We start from the raw sequence: 14,618 nt of genomic DNA, 5'->3' as shown, positions 1-14,618 counted from the left end.
GTTTGTTTGACTCCTTCAAATCTCATGTTGAAATTTGATTACCAGTGTTGGAGGTGGGGCTTAATGCGAGGTGTTTGGGTAATGGAGGTAGATCACTCCTGAATAAACATATGTCTTCCCTGGGGTGGGTAGCCGGATAAGTAGATTCTCACTTTGTTACTTCCCATAAGAACTGGTTGTTAAAAAGAGCCTGGCACCTCCCTCCCTTCTATCTTGCTTCCTCTATCACCATGTGATCTCTGTATATGCCAGCTCCCCTTCATCTTCTGCTATGAGTACAAGCAGCCTGAAGCCCTCACTAGAAGCAGATACTATAATAGCAATATTTCTTAAATGTTCTGCATCAAAGTCAGGCCTAAAAGTCAGCAAAGAAAAGAGGGTTTGTTTTTTTTTTTTCAATAAGGTTCAATTTTTCCACATTGGTTCTTGCTTTTTCTGGCAAGTGAGCAGCAACAATCACTGAGTCTGAATCTCAGCAGGGGCGTGACTTTAATTGCCCTTACTAGCCAGGAGTTCAAGACAGTGAAATGGAGTGATTACTGACTGCAGATGGATTGTCTCATCTGCAGATTCCCACCTGCAGAGATCAAGCATTAATTGAAAGCATGTAAAACTGATGGTTGGAAGAGCCAGCATGTTCTCTTCTCTGTGTTCTGAAGTTTTATTCTGCCATTAAGAGACCTTGGAACCACACATTGTGAGCATAAAGCTGCATGTTCAAATACTGAAACCGGTACCCCCCACTTCCTAATGTATATTACACATTTGAAATTACAAACCAACAGTGCCTCAACCAGCTAGATTGATCTGGGTTAGTAGATTTGTGGCCTTCTTCAAGTACCTAAGCTTTTTGAACTTCAGGTTGTCCATCTTTAAATTGTCTACTTTACAGAGAAATAAAAATGAAATAAGATAAATCACTTAGCACAGAGATGGGCACATATTCTTTGGTAACACTTATACCCCCATATCAGGGGAAGGAAGGATTGTGAAGAGAAATGATTAGTTTGAAGTGGTCCTCAGGACAGTAAGTCACTGCTTTCCTATATGATTATTGAATACATTTCTCAAATTGACTTTTACATTTAAAGAAAATAGAGGTTTAGCAACTGTGTGAAATAAATAGAAAAGAACTCATTTCAATGAAGTCATATAATTTGATATGCAGTGCTGTTCTAATAGATATTTATGGATCTTGTTGGCCACTGCATCCCAGTGTCCTGACTAATGCCTGGCACATAGTTGATGCTTGATAAATGTTTGTTGAGTAAATTAATGAGGGAAATACTGTTATATATCCAAAGCATTGATTAGAAGGTGAAAGAATCTACTTTTCTCTGTGTACTCAACTTGGGTTCTAGCATTTAAAAAGTTAGTAACTAAGAATTATGTATAAAACTGCTAGAAGACAACTGACCTGAAAAGACAACAATACATGCAAAGACAGTGTTAACATTTCCTTTTATTCTCAAACCAGCAGTACAAGCTATGGTATTTGCTTCTGCTCTATGGAGAGGCTACCTTTGTCCAAAGACACTCAGCTAGGAAGCAGAAGAGCAAAAATTTGAATCTAAATATGTCTGGCTGCAAAGCAAAAGTTTATTTCAAGCCCATCAGATTAGCTAAATTTTTAGACAAATATTTGGGAAAGGTTTTAAGTGAAGAAATGCCAAGCTCTCACACCCCAGTAGAAATGATTTCCTGGATTTCAAGATTAGTTTGAATAATAGAATAGTATCCTTTCTGAGAGGACCAGCATGTAAGGATAGGTAGATTCACCTTGGAATTATGAGGAAGTGAGGAGGCAGGGTGTTGGTTAGTCCAAGGGGCAATAATTGCCCTTAAGAGGGATGGCCCTTATCTTCATACTGATACTGGTGCAATAGGCAAATTGTCATACTCTTTTTGTAGCCTAGATTTTTGTTCAGCAAGAAGCAGAATTGTGACAGGGTAAAAGGGATAGACATAACTGGTGAAAACAGCTTCAAGAAACAGCTTTGAAGATGATTGGAGTGTTCTGCCTAGAAGAAGTCTGTTGAGGAGGAGGAAGGAGGTTGACTATGGTTTGAACAGAGGCAAAGACCATATGCTGGAAGAGAGAGAGACTAAGGGACACTGAAAGATGTCACTATCATGTATAAAGAAGTGAAGAGTTGGAAATGGCTCTAACATTGCTTATTTGGAAACCTGATAACCTAGTATTACTGGATGACCAAACTATGCTCATGAAGAGCACTACCTGTTGGCTCAGTACGAGAGCTAAATTGTAAGCTCCAATAATACAGAAAGTGTGGCTGTAATAGTCATCTGTATATACTCTCTGATATTAAATACTGTTACATGAATAAATTGTCCCAAACCCAATATTTATTCTTTTTCATAAGAGTCTGGGGTCTGGATCCAGACTGCCTGAATTCCAATCCTGGTTCTACAACTTACTATATTTATAACTGCATCTCAGTTTCTTAATCTATAAAATAAGGCTCACAATCGCACTAGTTCATAGACGAAGTGTGAAGACTAAATGACTTTAATATATACGAAGCGTTTAGAACAGACTTTGACATATAGTAAACTCTCAATAAATGGTAACTATTATAGGCAACTTATTTTTTCTTTCTTCTTTATCTCCTAATCCTGTATCCCTGATCATAACTCTTGAGATTCTTCCTGAAGTAACCCTCCTTCACATGAAAATCCATATTCTTTCTTGCCCTCTTATTTCTTTCTTGGTTTATTTTATTTTCATTCATTATCTCAGGAAAATCTTAATGTAGCTCTCCCTTTCATTTTGAACCCTAAAAAACTTTGAGAAAGAAAAAGCAACTGTCCAAACATTTTTGTAAAACCTCAACTGGAATCTGTCATCATTTGCAAACATTCCTGAAAATCTCTATATATTGACATCGAACTTTCATGTTTCCATTGAAACGTGAAATATTTCATTATATTTTCTTTGCAGACATCAATCATTATATTCTGCAGATATCTATTATTATATTTTCTCCAGCATCAGCACCTGAGACAAAATATTTTTTGTACAGCCACATTGTTTTTTTTGTCTTTTATTTAGCAACTATTATTGGAGTCATTGCTGTTATTTTGTATTATTTTTTATTTCAAATACATTGTGTTTAAGCTATGCTTAAGGTGAATACATTGCTGTGGGTTGTCACTTGAACTTAACAGCCATTTGTAACAAAATTTCTATGAGAATAAATGTTACTTATCCTAAATGCTGACTCAACTAGGAACTTTTTTATGTAGAATCATAATTTACATAGCCATACATTATCTTGTTTAACACTCCAAACTTATGCAATAAGTATTACTGCTATATCACAAATTAAAAATCTGAGATTTAGAAATTTAAATAAATTACCTAAGTCACATGGCTATGAGGACAGGAAAAGGAACTAGACTCAATTTCTGTTCATTTCTAGTTCAAAAGACATTCCACTATACTACCTTCTTCTACCACACATACAATATATTTAATCAGGGTATAAATATATATTTACAAATGAGAAGCTGGCTAGCTGTTGAGCGATGATGTTGATAGAAGCTACAAACTTTTCAGTGATCATTATGTGCCAGGCATCTTTTCAAGTGAGTGATCTTAGTTAAGCTTCATATAGTTATGTGAGATTGTTCCTAGCCTCATTCATCAGTATAGACAATGAAGCTCCTAGAATGAAAGAATTTGTCAAAACTTACATTACAGTTAAGTGGCAGGACTTGACTGTAAATTCAGATCTGTTTGACCCCAAATTCCATGCTCTTATTCACCTCCATATACTACTTCCTTAATGGCGGAATGAGATCCGTATGTTGTCTCCCTGGTGTGCTAACCCTGTGTTAACTCAAGGGTGTATTAGACTGAAAACAGATGGACTGCTGTTGCTTTTGATGATAAGCAAAACATCCAGTGAAAAAAGTTAAGGCTAAACAGAAAAGAAGTGTGTGTCATTAGTTTACATATGATTCACAAAACCTTGGGAACAGATGGCATTGTCCATAGTCTGAGAGAAAGGAAGAGAAAAGCAGCTATGGAGGCCTAGGTTAGCTCTCACCATCTGGTTGTAGGTGGAGGAAGAAGTGATTGGGTGAGAGAAGCTGCTTTTCCATAGAGTCTTTTAATGAATCTTCAGGGACGCAATTTTTTACAAGTGAGCTTTTGAAACTCATTAATTGCCTTGATACTTAATGGCATTCTGCAGACTTGGACTTCCTTCAGTCTCTGAAGAATTTTGCTTTGTATGAATATTAGATTAATATTGTTCTATATGCAATTTACTCATGCATTTTGAGTTAGTAGACAATACTATTATTTTTGAGACAGAGTCTCACTCTTTCTCCCAAGTTGGAGTGCAGTAGGGCTGTCATAGTTCACTGCAATGGAAAACTCCTGCACTAAATCCTCCTGCCTAAGCCTACTGAATAGCTAGAACTATGAGTGCATGCTACTGCACCCAGCTAATTTTTATTATTATTATTATTTCTTTTTTTGCAGAGGTCAGCTATGCTGATCAAGCTGGTCTCTAGCTCTTGGCCTCAAGTGATCTTCCCAGCTCAACCTCCCAAACTGCTAGGATTCCAGGCATAAGCCACTATACTCAGCAACATTTTTAGTGGTTGAACTGATATAGTGTTTTGTAAAAATATGATCTGTGTCAAGTTAGAATGATTCTGTGCAGGGCTATTCTTATAAGGAAGGATTTGTAAGTAGTTCTCATTTCTAGGTAATAAGAGATTTTTGTTCCAGTATGGTCACTAGAGAAATATGGTTTTTTTCCTACTATTTCTTATAATGATGTCTTCACTGATTTACAAGCAGCCACAGGATTTAGGTAATAACTCTCAAAATCCTTTATAATCAGCAGGAAGTTTCCAGACTATGAAGTTTAAACTTCTCTCATAAACAGGTATAAGTGAAGCTACTGGAATATCCTGAAATGCACTTATCTTGGGGATGCCCGGAATGACTGATACGAATCAAAAGGAAGTTAGGCAGATTCATTGTCCCACCTTCATACAATCTACTTTAATGAATGCCGTAACCAAGATTGTTGATTTCCATCCCCGAAAATTTAGTCACGCACCTACATTTTTCTTCTTTGTATTGTCAAATTATTCACATATCTCTTTCAATGGATGTCTGTTACTCTTGGGATAAAACCCCAAATTCTTTTTATGACCTCTAGGGCCCTTCATGATCTGTCCCAGTCCCACCTCTCCATTGTTATCTCCAGTCACCAATGATGCCCCACGCTTTTGAAAAGGCCCTTTTCTGCTGCAGGCTTTTCTCACTTGTTCCATCTGCCTGGAACATCTTTTCCTGCTTTTCCCCCATCCTAATTTACTCCTACACTTCAAGTATCAGGCCTTTTATTACAATCTGTCATGAAAGTCTATATTTCTTTGAGCACATATTACAGTATAATTAAGTAATGATTTGCTAATCAATATATTATATTGATGGCTGTCACCTCTACTAGAATGTAAAGACAAGAGCCACTTCTGTTGTTTATGCCTGTATTTGCCACAGGTAGTACAGAATCAGGTACACGTTGCTTCACATAAAGTATTTTATGAATTAGTTAATATTTCAAGGCACCTAGAAGAATGTCTGGCAGAACTGCTCTATATGTATAAACCACTTTAAATGTTGTTACCATTGGTGTTTTTCTTACTTTCCCTTTATTAGTAGATGTTGATTAAAGGGTGTGTGATAAAGGACCTCAGATCCCAATCATAGCTGTGCCATATGATCTTTGGAAAGACATCTAACCTTTCTGGGTTTCAATTTTCTTACCCATACAGACATTTCTTAAGAACTTTTATTTTTAAAATCATTGGAAACATAGGTTCTCTTAAAAGCCAAAGTAAAGGGGAAAAAGAAAGAACTGACTAATTATAATGTTAATGTTTTCCTTCCGGTTTCCAGACTTTCTATCTGAAGTATTCTCCACATCCAGGATGGTCTTCTTTTCTTATACACAAACAGCCAACCCATCATCAAATTATTCTCCTTGGTAAAGCTCATATATATATTATTTGTTATGCTTAATAAATAGCTCTCATATTTATTCTGGAAACTGTATCAGTTGAGAAGCAAGTCAGCAGGAGAATGATAGTACCACCCTTGTTACTAGTAAAGGTCAGACTAGACTGGAATATGTAGCTCTTATATGAGATTCAAGTAGATCTACTGCCTTTCTGCTATGTAGCTATTACTCTATCTGGATAGAGAAAAAACCCACTCAAGGGCCAGTATGGGTACCCAGAGGAGGCACACATATCCAGGAAACTACCTCCTACTGATTTAAGTGGACAAGGGAGGAGAAAGAGGCCAGAGTCCCTGTGCATAAATCCTTTGGCAATTAATTACTCTCAGTTGGGAAACCTGGACAAATGGCCATCATCCAGAACCTAGTAATTCAGTCCTCCTCGGTGTAAAAGGGATGAGAAGTGAGACAATGGGCTAGGATTGCATAGCTACCAAAAAGGAAGGCTAAAATACCGTCCCGTCTAATGTCAGTTATCTAGTGAATTTCAACTAGGGTGTAGGCAGTTGCTAGAAATAAGCATTGTGAACATGTGTCAGGCAACGAGTGCTATGTGAACCAGAAAATGCATTCACTGGGTGGAGGTAAACTAGAGCAAACAAAACATAGCCCAGGAGCCACTAGGGTTTATGAGCTGTAACAAGCAATCTCAGTTTCTCTGGAGTTTTAAGGCTGAATTCCACTTGTGAAATTTTATACTTCATCTTATTTGTTAAAAATATCTTCGAATCCCTGAGAAAGGTTTTTGCATGGAGAGCCTTCCCAGAGCCTCTGACATTATTCCCTAACAGTAATGGCAACTTCCCAGGAGAGAAGCGGCTCTGCTTCTTAGAGCCACTGCTGTATTTATGATTTCTCTTTCCTAATTTATTTTAGGTTTTTATCTGAAGAGGCTATTTCCATGATGAGTTTTGTTAAAGCAGTGGAACCCATAGATGTTCTGTTAAGAACAAGAATCCAAACAGGTGCTGAAAATCAAGACAGCAGAATCAACACTCTGGATAGAGGGGGCCGCAGGGTTGGACTGGATGGCAGATTCCCTACCTGGCTTGCCAGGTTTATTTCAGGCCTGCAGTTGCAACTTGATGCAAATAAAGAAAGAGAGGCAGATGCTGTATACTAGGTTTATGGAATAGGAGTCAATGAAAAGTTCTCTGTTAGGGAAACTCCATAAATCCAGGATTTTCCCACAATACAAAGTCGGTGACAGGAAAATTAATTTCAACTGTCTTGTGGGAAAAAGTCATTAACAAATGGGAAGACTTGGTGAGATGGAGGCTGAAGTAATAGATTTTAGAGATTAAAGATGAGCCCATGTAAGGAAGGTGAAGACATGAACAGACATATATGCGTGTGAACACACGCAAAAGTAGTAAGTACATATTTATGGACACATACATCACATATTATGGTCATGCTGCTTAACTCCTGACTATTGTACCTATAGTCAAAAACTAAAAGGAGGTCAATGAGAGGTTATAAATAAATTTGTATTATTCCTAATAATCTTGTATACTCAACTAAAGTGACAGAACATGTCACAGTGGTCAATAGAGGCCATGATGATTGAAGTTCAGTTTTGTTTTGTGTAAAATATTGTCCAGAGATATTCAGTTCTATAAGTTAATAAGGAGCTAAGGTTTGAATGGGAGATTGAAGAAGTATATGAGTCTCCAGTTAGCAGGATAGAGGATCACTAATTTAGAAGCCAGGATAAACTACCACAGTGCCTGTTACTTAGTAAGGCTCAATAAATACTTATTTAATTAATTATACTCTGCTCATTCATGTAGTATCACAATGATGATGACTACTCAAGGAAGTAAAAAGTCTTCTCTTGGTGACATATTGGATTTGAGATTTTTAATCAAGTAGACTGTGTGAGGAGCTATTACCAATTAAACATCAACCTGGAGTCACACATATTTTCTTAGTAGAATTTACTGTTGAATACAGTAGCAACATGAATGCATAGTTGTCTTCATGAAAAATAATTCAGAAAGATGGACAAATTTAGAAGGACACTCATCACTATGTTGCTTTCACTACTGTGCCCAATTCTATTTTTGTCTTTCAGTTCTAGAAAAGTTTTTCTAAGAGTTACCCCTACATTATGTGAGTTTTGTGCCATTATTCTGCACCTCTTATAAACTGATGATTCAGGGTCTGGGCCTAAGGCCAAAGTTAATTAAGTCTGAAAGCATATGAAAGCTGTTACTCCTATTCAGAAGACAGCAAGCCAGCATTTGCATTTGTTTGCTGTCCCTGTGCTGAAGTGCTGAGTTGTTGTAAGTTGCAGGTAGCATGACTTTGAGTAGTTGACAGGTATAGGATAATAGATGAGGAAGTCCCTATAAGTTATCCTTTTAAATATCTTGCAGACTCTGATGTTAAGGAGATACATTTAATTTGAAATGTACCTAATTCATTAATTTTTTATCATCTTGGTTCAAATTTTCTTCTAATTCTTCCATGGAAAATTCTTATTTTTGTCACAGTCTTCACTACATTAGTGATTTATTTATTTATTTATTTTAATTTTTTTTTTTTTTTTAGATTCTAGGGCTTTTGGATGTTTTGTTTGTAGACTTGTTTTTAACTTTCCACCTAATCCAAATAATCCAGATAATAATATCACACATATGCTATATGGTAGGCACTTATTTATAATATTTATAAGCCCCTTACCCACCCTCTGTATATCAGTCTCATTTTGGTAGGAGGAAACAGCTTATTTTTGACAAAGCCAGGATTCAAATTCAGGTCTGTATCCAAAGTCTATAATCTTTCTTAATCTACACCATGCTACCGCTCTAAATTGGTTGGAAAGTGGATTCTGTTGCATATAATTTAAACCTCAAATAATAGCAGCCTAGCAATATTTATTTCTCTCTTATGTAAAATACATTTAGAGGAAGGCAGCTCCATGATTGTCAGGCTCCTTCTTCCTCCCTGTCTATTATCCTAGCTTGTGCATTCCATGTCCAGGTGATACGGTTTGGATCTGTGTCCCTGCCCAAATGTCATGTCAAATTGTAATCCTAATGTTGGAGGTGGGGCCTGGTGGGAGGTGAGTGGGTCATGGGGGTCAATTTCCCCCTTGGTGCTATTTTTATGACAGTGAGTGAGTTCTCGTTAAGTCTGGTTATTTGAAAGTGTATGGCACCTACCCCCCAACACACCGTGTCCTGCTCTTTCCATGTAACATAACTGTTCCTGCTTTGCTTTCTGCCATGAGTAAAAGCTCCCTGAGGCCTTCCCAGATGCTGATGCTGCCATGCTTCCTGCATAGCCTGTGGAACCCTGAGCCAATTAAGCCTTTTTTTTGTTTATAAATTACCAAGTCTTAGGTATTTCTTCATAGTAGTGCAAGAACAGACTAATACACCAGGATCACGTCATGGCCCAAGAGAGCTGCTAAAACTTTAACTATCAGAGCTGTATTCCTGGTAACAGGGAAGAATGAGAGGGAAAGGCAAAAGGAGTGCCTCAGGTGTCTGTCTCCATTTTAAGGCGCTTTTCTAGAAGTCCTGTCTATCAATTTTCACTTACCTATTTTATGACTTCTTCATGTTTATAATGCTAGCAGCTGGAATAGTTTCTAGTACAATGAATGGATGGATGGAAATGAGTGAATATTAGACTTAAACTTATTGTAAGGCTGAGGCTTGCTTAAGACAACTTCTCTATTAAAAATATGTTAGGTTTCTAGACTTTCTGTATATGCTTTATTTTAAATTTATCTACCAGATCGCTCTCTCTGTCTCTGTACCTGTGTCATTTGATGTTCTCTTTGCCTGAGATATGCTTCTACGTACCCTACCTTCTCAATACATAGATATGTCATGTGACTCATTCCAACTCATCATTTAGGTTTAGGCAGAGTTGGATCTCTCTTGAAGAAGCTTTCTGTTCTTCTGAAGGACAGAAATAGACTAGACACCCACTTTGGGTGACTAGCATCCTCCGTTTAGTCTTACTAAAGCATTTTTTACACTATTAGTTATGTTTCCATGAGTTTACTTAAGGTTGGAACTATGATTTGTTCCATTATATCACCAACATTTGGAGCCAGGTCTAGAATACAATTAGTGCACAATAAATGTTTGCTTAAAAATGAGGACTGTTCAAATGAGGTTCTGGATAACTGATAGACTTGTCCAAGCTCACAGAGCTAGATACTTATATAGTCTTAAGTCTCTGCCTCTGAAGCTTGCCTTCCATCCAGGGAACACAGAAATGCAAATACAAGAGGAAGACAAAACAAAACAAAAACCTCAAAACCAAAAAATCTCGTTTCACAAATTTACTGGGAGCCAGCTGTCCTTTACTTAGTTCCCATAATCACTTTTCAGTCTGTTCTGAGTAGTGACTGACTCAGACGAATTTTCAGAAGCCAAGATTAAACCAAGAGAAGTCCATACCAGTCATTAAAAGTGGCGAAACTTGCCAGACTTCCTGCAAAAGAATTTCTAATTATTCCAGAATTTTCTGCACAAGTCACTTTTTATTTTGTCTCTTTTTCTCTGCTGAGAGCACATGCACATGGGCAATAGCCAACACGGAAGTCATTCTGTTTAACAGGAACAGGAATTTTCAGCAGTGTTTATTTTACAGCAGGTTCCCAGAGCAGAAGGCTGTACAACTAATCTCCTCCCCCTACTGTCATCTTGCTCTTCCAGCTGTAGGACATTTATAGAGTTGTAAAGTCTTCAGAGGAACTGCTGCTCTGGGGTCAAGAGTAGTACTGTAAGGCCAGGTACAATGGCTCACACTTGTAATTCCAGCACTTTGGTAGGCCTAGATGAGATGACTGCCTGAGCCCAGGAGTTCAAGACTGGTTTAGGCAACACAGTGAGACCCTGTCTCTACAAAAAAAATTTAAAAAAATAAGCCGGGCATGGTGGCATGTACCTATAGTCACAGCTACTCAGAAGGCTGAGATAGGAGGATTGATTGAGCAAGGGAGGTCAAGGCAGGCTGCAGTGAGCTGTGATCTCACCACTGCACTCCAATCTGGGTGACAGAGTGAGACTTTGTCTCAAAAAAAAAAAAAAAATTATTGTACTCGGTAAATCCCAGAAGTGTGGAAAGAGGGTGACAAGGCTGCCGGATGTAACCCTTGTCTTCTTACCCCACAGGGTATGCACTATGTTTTTAAATACTTGCTGCTGCAAGAGGTTGTAAATTTGTAATTTTTTTTCTTATGGTAATTAATTCAAAACATGAAACTAATAAGTACAAAAAGGTATCTACTCTGATGTTAATAAGAATACTTTGTTCATAGGAATTTTTAAGATAAAATACAAGTGTCAAAACAAATGGTGCTTTGGACTATGAGTCCACAGCAATATTAGGGGTGGGAGCGATATGATGGAAAGAACAGGGGCTTTGAATCAGACAGGACTAAGTTCAAATCTTGGCTCTACCCACTCAGTCATTGTGTGACATTAAACTCTTGGAAGCTGTTTCCTCATCTGTAAATGGAGATGTATTGTGATTAGTGACAATTTATGTAAAACAACACATGTTCAATCAATAGTGGTTTGTATTGTTGTTTGAATTATTATATTATGCCACCAGAGGCAATAGACACAGAATTGAACATTGTGGTGAGCCTGTTGTGAAATCGACACCACTTGTGTGTTCTGTAGCCTCTGGTGGACACACTAGCATCCCATCATAAGCGCCCTGCTCTTTGATCTCCCGCAGCCCTGGGCAGAGGCAACATATCACTGAAGTTACTCTTTTTCCTCATGATTTACATCAAAATCATGTATAACTAGAGTGCTTTGTTGCTTTAAATATGAAAAAATAGTTTGAATGCCCACTTCATGTTCTGAAAAACAAATTTGAAGGAGAGAGAGAGAGCCTGCCCTCTGAGAGTTCACAAACCTCTCTGAGAATATGGACATTTTGTTAATGAGAAATACAGTGAGTGGTGAAGAAGACAGGGAAGGCTCAGAATGGTGTAAATGCGATCAAGAGGAAGGTTGGAATTGACCTGAGCCATGTTATTTCTCTTTATATCTCATTCAAGAGGAAGTCTTCATTTCTTTGGATGGCGTGCAGGACCTCTGAAATCCAGTCCTTATGTATACATTTTGCCATCATGCCCATTCGCCTTATTCTCCAGTCCAAAGAACTTCTTCTGGTTCTTTCTACAACAGGTCCTGTTTAGTTGCACCTCAGTGCCTTTGTATGTGCTGGTCTCTCTTCAAGGAAGGCTCTTGTCTTACCTTTCTTTGTCAGTTCAATGCTACTCTTTCTTCGAGTTCCCAGGGTTTCAGAATCCTCCACCAATTCTCTGCCAGCATGCAAAGGAAAGGAGAGGTCATGGAGGATCTCCAAGGAGGTACTTAGGAGTCCAAGCCTAAAAATGAAGTGTATCACTTCTTCTGACAGTCCATTTGATCAAAATATTGTCAGGTGGCCATTTGATCAAAATATTGTCAGGTGACCCTAAATGACTACAGGATAGGCTGTGAAATGTGGTCAAAGTGTGTGTTTAGTAGGGGGAAAAAGGGGTTTGGTGAATCTTTACTGTGTTATTTGAAAGCATATTGTTCTTCCGTACCTATCTAATATCTTACACCATAGATGCTAACACTTTGTCAAAAGAAGTGAAGGAGTTTATGAATGCATTAGTAAATAAGTAAATATATGATGAGTAGAACACCAGAGGTGATAGTAGTGCGTTCACTTTGGAAATCAATTTAAGTTAACAAAATATAGACAGTCTGGTATTTGGAGAGCACAGCCAATGCTTGCCATTGTCCTACTTTGGCATATGAAGTTAGTCTTTGTGACTGGTAAATGTTTTCCTTAGTATCTGGACACTTCCATCCTTGTCTCTAGCCATACTCCCCCTTGTTTCAGCTTCCTTGCCATTTCTCAAATACACCAAGCATACTGATGGTTCTACATGAGGATCTTTACCCTTGTTTCCCTGGTTTGAAGTGCCAGACCCCAACTCCCCTTTTATTCCCCCCAACCACCAAGCACATGCTTGCCCTTTGCCTCACTTAGGTCTTACCTCTAGTGTCATCTTCTCTATGAGCCCTTCCCTGGCCACCCTAACTTCCTGTCCCATATCCTGTGTTATTTTTCCCCATCACATTTCTCAAGACCAGATATACTATATACTCCCCCAATTTGAAGATACACCTGTTAGAACAAGGAATATTGTCTATTTTGTTTGCTTATTTTTTTCTGTTGCTGGTACCTAGAACAGTGCCTGGCACATTGTGGATGCTCAAATATTTTTTGGATAAATGATAATGGTTTGTTTTTGCACAGTGTTTTGTGTCTTCTTCGCATGAAAATGACACATTAATTTAAAAATTGAATGTAAAAATATTTTCAAATTTTTCAACAATTGGATGTGGAAATGCAGAAGGAAAGAAGAGGATAAAAATTATTACTAAGGGGAAATGGTGACTTGACTCAGAGTCAGCGATAAAATATTATTGCTCTAGAAAGACACGCTAGAAACCACGAGGGATGAAGGAATGTTTTGAAAGTGTTTGTGTTTTTTCTTAGAATGCTGATTTTTATGCCATCCAAGCGTTCAATAGATGTAGCTTGAAGGAATCAACTGCAGAGCTCAGTAAACCCATAATGAGTACTTAAACCGTTTCAATTTAGTTTTATCAGAAAGGGCATTCAGTGAACGAGGCATTCTGATCACAGCAATTCTCTTCACAGAAATGGTATTTGGGAAGCTGGTTACCTTCTATTTGATAATTCAAAGATACATTTGGAATGCAGAGAACATTTGACAAAACCTATCTTTAAACTCAATTGCTTAAAGAAGAAACAAAAGCTACAAACACACTATGGGATAGAAATAGTCAGAAGAATCCATTCAGCAACTTTTTTAGTAGAGTCACCCTAGAATGTAGGGTACAGATCATGGCATTATAGAAGTATAGACTCAGAAAGGAACTTTGGGTGAGGAAAATAGGGTCTGGAGATAGGGGCACAAATATTTATCAAGGGTACCCTCTGTTGGGCACTCTAGAAAGCACTTCATTCGAAATGGGCGTTACTATCTTTATCTGGCACTTCATACTCAAAGTGGTTAACTTTTATACTCTCATATAGCAGGTGTGTCACAGAGCTGGGCTCACACTGAGATCTGTCTCACTCAGAGTCCTTATTATTTCTAGTCTGCCTTTTGAGATCTAAAGATTACCCTCAAAAGTTGCTCAATTATTAAATAATATATCCAGAATAATGACTCAAGTATTTTGATTTTTTAGTCTGTGCTCTGTCCACCAGAGTTAACTTTTTGGGTGGGGACACAAGGATAAATTTTTGCAATGGAACCTAGTTACTAAAAATCTCTTTAATCTGGCCAGGTGTGGTGGCTTACACTTGTAATCCCAGCACTTTGGGGGAATGAGGTGGGCGGATCACTCGAGGTCAGGAGTTCAAAACCAGCCTGGCCAACATGGTGAAAACCCATCTCTACTAAAAATACAAAAAAATTAGCTAGGCGTGGTGGTGGGTGCCTGTATTTCCAGCTACTCAGGAAGCAGAGGCAGG

General features: G+C 37.9%; 1 protein-coding gene across 34 annotated transcripts in view, besides 1 other annotated feature; it reads left to right on the top strand.

Annotated features, from left to right (window-relative positions):
- The window catches only part of DLG2 (discs large MAGUK scaffold protein 2), a 2,173,362-nt gene that overhangs the window by 946,150 nt on the left and 1,212,594 nt on the right, over positions 1-14,618 (top strand). The gene's annotated exons all lie outside the window — the stretch shown is intronic.
- Positions 8,038-8,548: an enhancer, noted in NCBI's record as "NANOG hESC enhancer chr11:84384719-84385229 (GRCh37/hg19 assembly coordinates)". NCBI's record gives its function as "activates a minimal SCP1, AML or CMV promoter by ChIP-STARR-seq in primed H9 embryonic stem cells {active_cell/tissue: H9 hESC(primed)}" and the evidence as "EXISTENCE:reporter gene assay evidence [ECO:0000049][PMID:30033119]".

This window comes from Homo sapiens, chromosome 11 (assembly GCF_000001405.40).
Source record: "Homo sapiens chromosome 11, GRCh38.p14 Primary Assembly".
Taxonomy (NCBI): Eukaryota; Metazoa; Chordata; class Mammalia; order Primates; family Hominidae; genus Homo; species Homo sapiens.
The sequence above is the reverse complement of the archived record's forward strand: the minus strand, read 5'-3'. Positions and strand labels throughout refer to the sequence as shown.